Source organism: Homo sapiens, chromosome 15 (genome assembly GCF_000001405.40).
Source record: "Homo sapiens chromosome 15, GRCh38.p14 Primary Assembly".
Lineage (NCBI taxonomy): Eukaryota > Metazoa > Chordata > Mammalia > Primates > Hominidae > Homo > Homo sapiens.
Genome location: NC_000015.10, coordinates 56,430,507 through 56,444,123, shown reverse-complemented (window position 1 = coordinate 56,444,123; position 13,617 = coordinate 56,430,507). Strand labels below are relative to the sequence as shown.

Genomic DNA, 13,617 nt, shown 5'->3' with positions numbered 1-13,617 from the left:
TGCAAAGCTAATGTTAACAGATTGTAGCCTTTATGAAATAAGATGCATAAAACTTCATTAATAGGTTAGAGGAGACTATCACAGTATTCTACCCAAAGAAAAATTCATACCTGACATTATATTTAGCACACAGTAAGCATTCAAAATGTTTGTTGCATGCACGAATGAAAAAACTATAGTGTTTTTCTGTACATTATTATGAACAAAATGAAATTACTTTTTTATATTTTATTGTTTACTATAAATCTGTACTTGTTATTGCTTTTCAGGGAAAAACAACAAAAGTTAGAAAAAATGAATGCAATGCGAAGGTATATAGAAGAGTTTCAGAAAGAGCAGGCTCTCTGGAGAAAAAAGAAACGTGAGGAGATGGAAGAAGAAAACAGAAAAATCATAGAGTTTGCTAACATGCAGCAGCAAAGAGAAGAAGATCGGATGGCAAAAGTTCAAGAAAATGAGGAGAAAAGGCTACAGCTTCAGAATGCGGTATTAAAATAACCACTTCTTTAACACTAGTAAAATTCTGAAATATTAGTTACAGAATTTGGATCCTATAAATATTTATGTTTTTTAAAAAATTTAATAGTTGACACAGAAATTAGAAGAAATGCTGCGGCAACGTGAAGATTTGGAACAAGTGCGACAAGAATTATACCAGGAAGAACAAGCTGAAATATATAAGAGCAAGCTAAAAGTAAGTTTCAGAAATGGAAAGAATGATTAATGTAGAGAAGAATATAATTTTGAGATGAAGCAGAAAAGAGATAGTACATTTAAATCCAACCATACTGGTAATTACATTATATGTAAATGGTATACTACAGTTAAAAGACAGAAATTTTCAAGCTGGCTAAAAAGATAGACTCAGGCATCAATTTATAAACTTACCATAAAAAGCATGATGCAACTATGTTGTCTGTAATCACAATTTAAAAATGAAGATACATACTTTAAAAGCAAAAGGATGGTGAAAGATACGTAACATACAGACACTAGTCAAAAGTAGGTTGGAGTTGCTACGTTAATATGAGACAAAGTCAACTTCAGGACAAGCAATTCATGATAATACAGTAAATTCATCTAGAAGATGTCATAGTCCTAAAGGCGTGTGAACCTAAATAATAAAGCTTCACAATACATGAAGCAAAACTGACAAAAACTGAAAGGAGAAAGAGGCAAATCCACAATCAGAGTTCAAGATTTTTTTTTTTTTCTTTTTCTCTTTCCAACTTTTACTTTAGGTTCAGGAGGTACATGTGCTGGTTTGTTACAGGGGTAAATTTGTGGGTCATGGGGATTTGGTGTAACATTATTTTGTCACCCAAGTAATGAGCATAGTACTCGATAGGTAGTTTATTGATCCTCACCCTCCTCCTATGTCTACCCTCAAGTAGGCCCCAGTGTCTGTTTTCCTTCTTTGTGTCCACGTGTACTCAATATTTAGCTGTTACTTGTATGTGAAGACATGTAGTATTTGGTTTTCTATCCCTGCATTAATTAGCATAGGCTAATGGCCTCCAGCTCCATCCATGTTGACGCAAAGGATATGATTTTGTTCTTTTTTATGGCTGTGTAGTATTCCGTGGTGTACATGTACCACATTTTATTTATCCAGTCCACCATTGATGGATATCTAGGTGGATTCCATATCTTTGCCATTGTGAATAGTGCTGCTATAAATACACACATGCATGTGTCATTATGGTAAAATGATTTATATTCCTTTGGGTATATACCCAGCAATCCCATTGGGTATAAACCCAGCAATCAAATGGTAATTCTGTTTTCATTTTTTGGGGAGTCGCCACAGTGCTTTTCACAGTGGTTGAACTAGTTTACATTCCCACCAACAGTGTATAAGCATTCCTTTTTCTCCACAACCTTGTCAGCATCCATTCTTTTGTGACTTTAATAGCCATTCTGACTGATGTGAGATAGTATCTCATTGTGGTTTTGGTTTGCATTTCTCTAATGATTAGTGATATTGAGCACTTTTTCATGTGCTTGTTGGCTACATATATATCATTTTTTGAGAGGTATCTGTTCATGTACTTAGCCTATTTTTTCTTTTTATTTATTTATTTTATTTTATTATTATTTTTTGAGATGGGAGTCTCGCTCTGTCGCCCAGGTTGGAGTGCAGTGGCGTGATCTCGGCTCACTGCAAGCTATGCCTCCCGGGTTCACGCCATTCTCCTGCCTCAGCCTCCCAAGTAGCTGGGACTACAGGCACCCGCCACCATGCCCGGCTAATTTTTTTCTTTTGTATTTTTAGTAGAGATGGGGTTTCACCGTGTTAGCCAGGATGGTCTCGATCTCCTGACCTCATGATCCACCTGCCTTGGCCTCCCAAAGTGCTGGGATTAGAGGTGTGAGCCACCGTGCCTGGCCAGTCTATTTTTTAAATAGGGTTGTTAATTTGTTTACGTTCCTTAGATATTATGGATATTAGACCTTTGTCAGATGCATAGTTTGCAAATATTTTCTCCCATTCTGTAGGTTGTCTGTTTATTCTGTTGATAACTTCATTTCCTGTGAAGAAACTCTTTAGTTTAACTAGGTCCCACTTGTCAATTTTTGTTTTTGTTACAATTGCTTTTTGAGTCTTCATCATGAAATCTTTGCCAGGTCCTATGTCCAGAATGGTATTTCAATGCACAGTTCTCATTAATCTATAGACTAGGTAGTCAGAACCGCAGGATATCGTATTGAAAGCAATATCAATAAACTTGACCTGACATTTAGAGAATACTCCACCCAACAACAGCAGAACACAAATTCCATTCAAACATGGAACCTTCACCGAGATAGATCATATTCTAGGACATAAAGGAAGTCTCAATAAATTTTCAAGGTTTTAAATAATACCAGATATGTTTTCTGACTACAGTGGAATTAAATTAAAAATCAGTAATGAAAATATACCTGCAGACTCCTTAAATATATTATAATTAAACAATATATTTCTAAATAAGCAATGAGAAAAGGGGAATAAATAATATTGGAAATTAGAAAAATATTTCAAACTAAATGATTCAAAAAACAGCATTCCAAAATATGTGACGTGCAGTTAATGCAGTGCTTAGAGGAAAGTTTATATCTTTAAATGCATATATTAGAAAAAAGAATGGTTAAAAATTAATGAGCCTGTGTCTACCCAAACCCATACACAAATGTTTATGCAGCATTATTCACAATAGTCTAAAAGTAGAAATAACCCAAAAGTAGAAATAACCCAAATGTCTAATGGATAAACAAAATATAGTATATCCATGTAATAAAATGTTATTCAGCTATTAAAAGAATGACAGACTGATCATGCTAAAACATGGATAAACCTTTAATTATAAATTTAAAAGTATGTGCCTCAGGAATGTTATATAAATGATATCAAACAATATGTAACTTTTTCAAGTTGGCTTTTTTTTATTCAGCATAATTTCCTGGAAATTCATCCAAGTTGCTTGTATTGATCATTTGTTCCCTTTTTTTGCTGAGTAACATTCCATTGGCATGTATATACCATTTTATTTGACCATTTGCCCATTAAAGGGCATTTGGAATGCTTCCAATATTTAGCTCTGATGAGTAAATCTGATGTAAACATTCAGGTAAAGGTTTTTGTATAAACATCAATTTTCATTTCTCTGCAATAAATGCTCAAGATTGTATTAGCTGGGTTTTGTGGTAACTGCATGTTAGCTGTGTAACAGACTGCCAAAGTGATTTCCAGAACAGCTGTAGCATTTAACATTCCCATCAGAAATATATGAGTTACGCAGTCTGTCTGCATTCTCACCAGCATTTGGTGTTAACACAGTTTATTTTTTAATTTTTTTCTCCTCTGTCCTCAGAAGCTCAACAATTTTTTATTTTAGCCACTTTTAAATATCCATGTAGTGATACCTTGTAGTTTTATTTTGCATTTTCCTGATGACTAATGATGCTGAACATCTTTTCATGTGCTTATTTGCTGTCCTCTTTGGTGTAAGATCCTCTTTGATGAAATAGTTCTTCATGTCTTTTGCTGATTCTCTAATTGGGTTGTTTGTTCATTTATTGTTGGGTTTTGAGAGTTCTTCATATATTCTAGATACTAGTCCTTTGTCAGGTGGGTGGTTAGCAAATAGTTTCTTCTAGTCTGTAGCTTTATCTTCTCATCCTTTTAACATGATCTTAGAGCACGATTTTTCTTAGAGCAAATGTTCTCCATTTCTATGAAGTTCAGTTTATCAGTTTTTCTTTTTATGGATCATGCTTTCTGTGTCAACTCTAGAAACTCTTCGCCTAGTTATTGAAGAATTTCTCCTTTTTTTTTTCCTAAAGGTTTGTGTGTGTGTGTGTGTTTTGTTTTTTTGGGTTTTTTTTTTTTATGCTTTTCCATTTTACATTTCAATCTGTGATCTGTTTTGAGTTAATTTTTGGTACAAACGATGAGACTTAAATACAGTTTTTGCCATTGGATTTAGTTCAGTTGTTCCACACCATTTGTTGAAATGGCTGTTTCTCCAACATTGAATTGCTTTTGCACCTTTCTTAAAACACAGTTGGCATGTTTGTATGGGTCTATTCCTGTGGTCTCTATTTTGTTCTGTTGGTCTATGTATCCATCCCTCCACCAATACTACACAGTTTTGAATACTGCAGCTATATGGCAAGTCTTAAAATTTTTTTTTTAGCTATTCTAGTTCCTTTGCCTTTCCATATGAATTTTTGAAGAATCTTGTCTCTATAAATATTTTTTGCTGGGATTTTGATAGGTATTGAATTAAATTTGAATATCAGTTTGGGGAGAATTGATAAATTCACTATATTAAGTTCATGAACACAATTTGGCTCTCCCTTTATTTAGATCTTTGAATTTTTTCATCAGGATTCTCTAGTTTCAGCATACAAATCCTGTACGTGTTTTGTTACATCTAAGTGTTTCATTTTTTGAGCAATCGTAAATGGAATGTTAGCTTTTATTTTGGTGTCCGTGTACTCGTTGCTAGTGAATTGATATTTTTGTGTTTATCTTGTATCTCACAACCTTGCTGAATTCACTTGTTAGCTGTAGGATTTTTTTTCCCTACATAGTCAGGCATGTCTTCTGCCCAGAGCTACAGGCTGTTTCTTCCTTTCTGATCTGTATACTTTTTACTTCCTTTCCTTGCCTTACATGCTGGCTAAAATTTCCAGCACCACTGGCTAGTGCTATGTTGAAGAAGAGTGATGAGAGTAGACATCACCTTTCCTGTTCTTGTCTGTTGGCTGCATAAATGTCTTCTTTTGAGAAGTGTCTATTCATATCCTTCGCCCACTTTTTGATGGGGTTGTTTGATTTTTTCTTGTAAATTTGAGTTCTTTTTAGATTCTGGATATTACCCCTTGGTCAGATGGGTAGATTGCAAAAATTTTCTCCCATTCTGTAGGTTGGCTGTTCACTCTGATGGTAGTTTCTTTTGCTGTGCGGAAGCTCTTTAGTTTAATTAGATCCCATTTGTCAATTTTGGCTTTTGTTGCCATTGCTTTTGGTGTTTTAGACATGAAGTCCTTGCCCATGCCTATGTCCTGAATGGTATTGCCTAGGTTTTCTTCTAGGGTTTTTATGGTTTTAGGTCTAACATGTAAGTCTTTAATCCATCCTGAATTAATTTTTGTATAAGGTGTAAGGAAGGGATCCAGTTTCAGCTTTCTACCTATGGCTAGCCAGTTTTTCCAGCACCATTTATTAAACAGGGACTCCTTTCCCTATTGCTTGTTTTTGTCAGGTTTGTAACAAACCTGTCTTTTTTGTAACAAAAAAAAAGAGCAGATGGTTGTAGATGTGTGGTACTATTTCTGAGGGCTCTGTTCTGTTCCATTGGTCTATATCTCTGTTTTGGTAGCAGTACCATGCTGTTTTGGTTACTGTAGCCTTGTAGTATAGTTTGAATTCAGGTAGCATGATGCCTCCAGCTTTGTTCTTTTGGCTTAGGATTGTCTTGGCAATGTGGCCCCTTTTTTGGTTCCATATGAATTTTAAAGTAGTTTTTTCCAATTCTGTGAAGAAAGTCATTGGTAGCTTGATGTGGATGGCATTGAATCTGTAAATTACCTTGGGCAGTATGGCCATTTTCACGATATTGATTCTTCCTATCCATGAGCATGGAATGTTCTTCCATTTGTTTGTGTCGTCTTTTATTTCGTTGAGCAGTGGTTTGCAGTTCTCCTTGAAGAGGTCCTTCACATCCCTTGTAAGTTGGATTCCTAGGTATTTTATTCTCTTTGAAGCAATTGTGAATCGAGTTCACTCATGATTTGGCTCTCTGTCTGTCTGTTATTGGTGTATAAGAATGCTTGTGATTTTTGTACATTGATTTTGTATCCTGAGACTTTGCTGAAGTTGCTTATCAGCTTAAGGAGATTTGGGGCTGAGACAATGGGGTTTTCTAAATATACAATCATGTCATCTGCAAACAAGGACAATTTGACTTCCTCTTTTCCTAATTGAATACCCTTTCTTTCTTTCTCCTGCCTGACTGCCCTGGCCAGAACTTCCAACACTATGTTGAATAGGAGTGGTGAGAGAGGGCATCCCTGTCTTGTGCCAGTTTTCAAAGGGAATGCTTCCAGTTTTTGCCCATTCAGTATGATATTGGCTGTGGGTTTGTCATAAATAGCTCTTATTATTTTGAGATATGTCCCATCAACACCTAATTTATTGAGAGTTTTTAGCAAGAAGGGCTGTTGAATTTTGTCAAGGGCCTTTTTTGCATCTATTGAGATAATCATGTGTTTTTTGTCATTGGTTCTGTTTATATGCTGGATTACATTTATTGATTTGTGTATGTTGAAATAGCCTTGCCTTCCAGGGATGAAGCCCACTTGATCATGGTGGATAAGCTTTTTGATGTGCTGCTGGATTTGGTTTGCCAGTATTTTATTGCGGAGTTTTGCATCAATGTTCATCAGGGATATTGGTCTTAAATTCTCTTTTTTTTGTGGTGTCTCTGTCAGGATGACAGACGACCAAAGTATCAGGATGCTGCTGGCCTCATAAAATGAGTTAGGGAGGATTCCCTCTTTTTCTATTGATTGGAATAGTTTCAGAAGGAATGATACCAGCTCCTCCTTGTACCTCTGGTAGAATTCGGCTGTGAATCCATCTGGTCCTGGACTTTTTTTGGTTGGTAGGCTATTAATTATTGCCTCAATTTCAGAGCCTGTTATTGGTCTATTCAGGGATTCAACTTCTTCCCAGCTTAGTCTTGGGAGGGTGTATGTGTCCAGGAATTTATCCATTTCTTCTAGATTTTCTAGTTTATTTGCGTAGAGGTGTTTATAGTATTCTCTGATGGTAGTATTTCCGTTGGATCTGTGGTGATATCCCCTTTATCATTTTTTATTGCGTCTATTTGATTCTTCTCTCTTTTCTTTGTTATGAGTCTTGCTAGCGGTCTATCAATTTTGTTGATCTTCTCAGAAAACCAGCTCCTGGATTCACTGATTTTTTGAAGGGTTTTTTGTGTCTCTATCTCCTTCAGTTCTGCTCTGATCTTAGTTATTTCTTGCCTTCTGCTAGCTTTTGAATGTGTTTGCTCTTGGTTCTCTAGTTCTTTTAATTGTGATGTTAGGGTGTCAATTTTAGATCTTTCCTGATTTTTCTTGTGGGCATTTAGTGCTATAAATTTCCCTCTACACACTGCTTTAAATGTGTCCCAGAGATTCTGGTATGTTGTGTCTTTGTTCTCATTGGTTTCAAAGAACATCTTTATTTCTGCCTTCATTTCGTTATGCATCCAGTAGTCATTCAGGAGCAGGTTGTTCACTTTCCATGTAGCTGAGCGGTTTTGAGTGAGTTTCTTAATCCTGAGTTCTAGTTTGATTGCACTGTGGTCTGAGAGACAGTTTGTTATAATTTCTGTTCTTTTACATTTGCTGAGGAGTGCTTTACTTCCAACTATGTGGTCAACTTTGGAATAAGTGCGGTGTGGTGCTGAGAAGAATGTATATTCTGTTGATTTGGGCTGGAGAGTTCTGTAGATGTCTATTAGGTCTGCTTGGTGCAGAACTGAGTTCAATTCCTGGATATCCTTGGTTAAACACTTTTTTCTACTGATATGATTATGACTTTTTCTTCTTTAGCCAAGTATATTACATTGATTTTTGAGTATTGAACCAGTCTTGCATCCCTGTAATAAACACTACTTGGTCATGGTGAATAATTCTTTTAATGTATGATCTATTTTTCTAATATTGGGTTAAGGATTTGTGCATCCATATTCACGAGGAATATTGGTCTGTAATTTTTTATATTGGTAGCGGGGTAATACTATCTTCATAAAATGAATGGGGATATGTTTCCTCCTCTTCTGTTTTCTGGAAGAGATTGTGTAGAATTCGTGTTAATTTTTTAAATATTTGATAGAATTTTCTAGTGAAACCATCCTGACTTGGGGTTTTATTTTGGAGGAATTTTAAGTTATTAATTCCGTCTCCTTAATAGTGATAGGACTATTCAGATTACCTTATTTCATATTTGGTGAGTTTTGGTAGCTTGTGTTTCTCAAGGAAGTGATCCATTTCATCTAAGTTGCCAAATTTATGTGTGTATAATAATTTGTAGTATTCCTGTATTATCCTTTTGATGTCTGTAGGGTCTCTAGTGATATCCTATGTTTTATTCCTGATATTAGTTATTTGTTTATTCATTCATTTTTTTTTTCTAGGTCAGCCTTGTTAAAGGTCTGTCCATTTCACTGATAATTTTTAAGAACCAGCCTTTTGTTTCACCAATAATTGTCTATTTTCTATTTTTAATTCCATTGATTTCTACAGTTTTATTATGTTTTTCCTTCTGCATATTTTGGGTTTACTTTACAGTTCTTTTTATAGGTTCTTGAAGTGGGGGCTTAGATTATCGATTTGAGACTTTTCCTACATACATGCATTTAGTGCTATATATATACATTTTCCTAAATGTATCCATTTAGTGCTATAAATGTTTCTCAGAACTGCTTTAGCAGCATCTCACAAATTTTGCTGTCTCACTTTTATTAACTACAATGTATTTATTTTCCTTGGCATTCCCTCTTTGGCCCATGAATTATTTAGAAGTGAGTGACCATTGTAAAATTATATTTTTTAGTATGTATGAAATTTTTCATAATAAAATGTTCAGAAAATAAAAGCTTATAGGAAAGGACTTAACTGTTCCAACTATATTTGAATTTCCCTAAAGAAGTACTGATTGTCATTGCTAGATAATTGTTTTTAAATTTTAGAGAATTTTGGAGAATGAAGGGAATATTAGAAGACTAGAGATGGGTAAGTGCAGCTTTGATTTTGAGGAGGAGGTTGGAAACTGAAAAATACTTATGGGTGGTTTGGACAGCTTTTGTAAGCAAGATTCTAGAATGATTCATAGTTACCATAGACTTTAGATGAATAAACTCAGGTGTGCAAAAAAGGCTTTTGTAACAGCTCTTTCCAAAGCAGTTACGTGTTAATTCTGAGTAGAGAAACAAGATGGTAAATATAAATTAAAATTTGTTCATGAGTAACAGAAAACAATCCAAATGTAAGCATATTCTTTATCCAGCTAGTTTTAAAGGGATGGACAAAGTTATCATGAAAAGCCTTACTTTTTCAGTTTGTATGATTTCATATTGTAATACTAAATTTAACCAAACTCTATCACTCTTTCCTTATAAATCTGGTGTAAGGAAATAGTTACTAAATTAACTTTCAGCTGTATTGTTTAGGAAGAAGCAGAAAAGAAATTGAGAAAGCAAAAAGAGATGAAGCAAGATTTTGAAGAACAAATGGCCTTGAAGGAATTAGTGCTACAGGCTGCAAAAGAGGAAGAGGAGAACTTTAGAAAAACTATGCTAGCTAAATTTGCTGAGGATGATCGAATAGAATTAATGAATGCTCAGAAACAAAGAATGAAGCAGCTGGAACACAGGAGGGCTGTGGAAAAACTTATTGAAGAGCGTCGCCAACAATTCCTTGCAGACAAAGTAAGAAAAAGTTGTGGGGTTTTTTTGGTCATTATCATTAAACAGCAATAGCTCATCTATCATCCACTAAACATTTACTGAGAAGCTTTATATGCCAGACAATGTTAGTATGTTTACTAATATATATATAAATTTTCTGACCATTTTTGCTTCTAGAAAATATTTATTGATGCTTTCTATGTGCTAAACACTGGTTGGTATTGAGAACATAAAAGGTAAATAAAACTAAGTCCATGTCACTTATGAATTTATGGTCTTGGTTAAGAAAAATATATAAAAAGTAATTATAAATATGTCATGTACATGTGATAATAGGTTATAGAGCTATGGATGTTTTGGTATGGCAGAGAGAGAAACAGATCATGAACACCCTGCATGCTATTTTAAGAAGGTGGGCTTTTCTAAGGGAAGCCACTGAAGATTGAAAAGCTGTATATTAAGATCTGTACTTTGAAAGACGATTCAAGTGAGAGCATTGAAGGTAGATAAGAGATGAGTAAGCTCGGAGATAGGGAGATCAGTAAGTAAGTTATTATAATAATCCCAGTGACAAGTGGTGAAACCCATGCAAATAGATAAGGGATCCACCCGAGAGATGTTAAGGATACGGAATTGATGGGGCTTGGTGACCAGTGAGATCTAGGGTGAGAGAAGACTTAAGGCTACCCCTAATAAATAATACTGTCATTCCATCTTTTTAATTATTTTTTTAATATTTTTAAGTTCCAGGATGCATGTGCAGAACATGCAGGTTTGTTACACAGGTATACATGTGCCATGGTGGTTTGCTGCACCTATCAACCCGTCATCTAGGTTTTAAGCCCTGCATGCATTAGGTATTTGTCCTAATGCTCTCCCTTCCCCTTGTCCCCCCCACCCCCCGACAGGCCCTGGTGTGTGATGATGTTCCTCTCCCTGTGTCCATGTGTCACTTCCATCTTTAATGGGTGACTGGGTGACATCCTAAGGAAAGAGTATAGAGGAAAAGAAATAGATTTTGAGGGTGCAAATAATTCTATTTTGTCCACCCAAAATGATTTGGTGGCCCAGGGGAAGATTACTAGTTGGAAATGTAGATTTAAGTGTTGGAGAGGGAATGAAGTTTTTGGCTTTGGATACATTGACTTATTTATGTCTCATCCGTAAAACTAAATACTTATATTGTCTCACTAGATTTTGTGGTTTAAGAACCAAATGGATAATATGTAGGTGTTTTGAAAATCGGTAGGAAGAGAAGAATTTAGAGGAAGACTAAGTGAGACTTACATGACTTCTTTTAAAACTATACAAAGTAGGAGTCAAAATAATGCAGATGTTTCAAATATGAGAAACTCATGGGAATACAAGTGCTGTTATATTTCAGATTGGAGCTCATCTGTTCTCAGAAGCTAAGCAGGATCAGGCCTGGTTAGTACTTGGATAGGAGAAAGCTCCTGGAAAAGTTAGCAAGACAACTAACTAGAAATCAGACTAAAAACTAAATGGAAATCAGATAAAGCCACCTAATGCATAGATACTTATACAAATAATTTTTGTCTTAATTTTTAAAGACTTATAAATGTTCCCAATATGAAGCTGTCGGCTTAGTTTTGTCCGTTTGATTGGGCAACATTTTTGTTCTGGCCCCAAGTCAAGGACAGATCTTCGTGATGAAACTCATTATACAATCCTATAAGGTCTAACCATGTTTTTTGGATTTCAGAGACATTCCTAAATAGGTATCTGTAATTCTGTCTACCTCTACGAAAATCATACGGTCAGACAAAATCTGAAACTTCCCAGGAGGTAGTTTCCTACACCAAAGCTATTCAGAATTTGTCCTAAATGGATAAGTTGATTTCGTAACTGCCTAAACAATTTAATTTACTATAAATTTTTCTTTTTAGGATAAACATTGAATGTGGCCTGCCAGATCCTTCTTAGGAAAATCTGCATTAGCCCAAAGTAGACTCTACCATTGGACAAAAATGTATCAAGTTTGCTTTCCCCTGTAACATTACAGAACTTTCCTGTATCTCCTCTTTATAAGGAATGGATGAATTAAGATAGAATTAGGTTTGAATGCAAGTACAGTCTCAAATTAACAGTGGCTTAGTAGATTACTGTTCTTTCACGTAGTTCAAGTCATCTTTTCTATATGGCCCAGAATTTTGATGTGATTATTTAAGAGTGAGCACTTTCCTAAGAAATACTAGTGGAATTCTCATGCTTCATATCATCTTTATATATATATATATGAAAATATCCTTTAGATATTTCTGATCTTCTTTATTCACTATTTTTTGTTTTACACTGTAAACTCTTCAGCATCTGGTATATGGTAAGCATTCAGTAAATATTTACTGTATTAGGCAGTCACTCCTTTGAATATTTTTTCCCTTGGTAATGAAGACACTTTCCTGAAAATATTTGTTTGCCTCCTTGTAATTTTAAAGGAATAATGACAGTAAAAAATACATAGATATGTGTACAGACATAAAATATATATTTTAAAAATATATATTATCTAGAATCTTTTGAACTTAGTGTCATAAATAGTTCATCAATTTTATCTAATTCATTGCATGAGTAGTTTTATTTGAAAACTTCGTATAAGATTAATGTACTTTGTGATAACAAAATTTGATCTGCATTTCCAGCAACGTGAACTAGAAGAGTGGCAGTTGCAGCAAAGGCGGCAAGGATTTATTAATGCAATTATTGAAGAAGAAAGGCTAAAACTTCTTAAAGAGCATGCTACAAACTTACTAGGCTATCTCCCTAAAGTAAGTGAGATTTATCTCAAGTTGTAATCTTCATGACCTGTAATAGTGAAAAAAACATGGTATTTGGATTTTAGAGTGCCTTGGTTTTGCTCACTTCTTGCTCGGTTATGAAGCAGCAATGGGATCCTCCTGTCCAGGCACTGAACCTCTCTGGGCCCATTTCAGTATATCTAAAATGATTGGTCTTAGCACATTATTAGATGTATGAGCTTGATTTACTGAATTTGTACCTTATTTATCGCCCAGGCTGGAGTGCAGTGGCAAGATGTCAGCTTACTGCAACCTCTGCCTCCCGGTGATTCTCCTGCTTCAGCCTCCTGAGTAGCTGGGATTACAGGCGTTTGCCACCACACCCAGCTAATTTTTGTATTTTTGGTAAGGACAGGATTTTGCTATGTTGGCCAGGCTGGTCTTGAACTCTTGGCCTCAGGTGATCCATCTGCCTCAGCCTCCCCAAGTGCTGGGTGGGCCACCACACCTGGCCTGAGTTTGTATTTTAGAGTTTCTTTTCTCCCCTTTTAGTGTAGGAAATCTAAAGCTACCCTAGAACAACTGTAGTACTTACATGCCAAAGATGAGAATGTGTATGAAAACATTGTCACTGGTAACACCAGTAATAGGCACATGGTTGAACTGAGCTTGAGACTACCCTAGAACTGTAGTACTTACATGCCAAAGATGAGAATGTGTATGAAAACATTGTCACTGGTAACACCAGTAATAGGCACATGGTTGAACTGAGCTTGAGACAGATCTGCTCTACAGTAGGAAGTTATAACTAGTTAAACTTGATTTTTAAAATTCCAGAAGATAGTGAATTTTAATGTATACCTGAGACACACTGTGACTTCAAATAAAATAGTAAC

The 13,617-nt window shown here is 35.3% G+C and overlaps 2 protein-coding genes across 11 annotated transcripts in view; one reads left to right on the top strand and one right to left on the bottom strand.

Annotated features, from left to right (window-relative positions):
- TEX9 (testis expressed 9) overlaps positions 1-13,617 on the bottom strand; it is a 216,038-nt gene that overhangs the window by 15,887 nt on the left and 186,534 nt on the right. For 3 of the 10 annotated variants that reach the window (NM_001385043.1, XM_011521530.4, XM_047432476.1), the window contains one exon: positions 8,177-8,343. The exons of 5 other annotated variants lie outside the window; for them this stretch is intronic. The gene's annotated coding sequence lies outside the window, so the exon portion shown is untranslated. Of the gene's footprint in view, positions 1-8,176; positions 8,344-8,784; positions 10,950-13,617 lie in introns of those variants that run through there. 2 more of the 10 variants (XM_047432467.1, XM_005254359.6) reach the window with 2 other exon arrangements.
- MNS1 (meiosis specific nuclear structural 1) overlaps positions 1-13,617 on the top strand; it is a 36,414-nt gene that overhangs the window by 21,014 nt on the left and 1,783 nt on the right. Inside the window, exons 6-9 of the mRNA NM_018365.4 lie at positions 270-486; positions 587-694; positions 9,729-9,986; positions 12,626-12,751. Coding sequence (NP_060835.1) covers positions 270-486; positions 587-694; positions 9,729-9,986; positions 12,626-12,751 — 709 coding nt within the window. The remainder of the gene's footprint in view (positions 1-269; positions 487-586; positions 695-9,728; positions 9,987-12,625; positions 12,752-13,617) is intronic.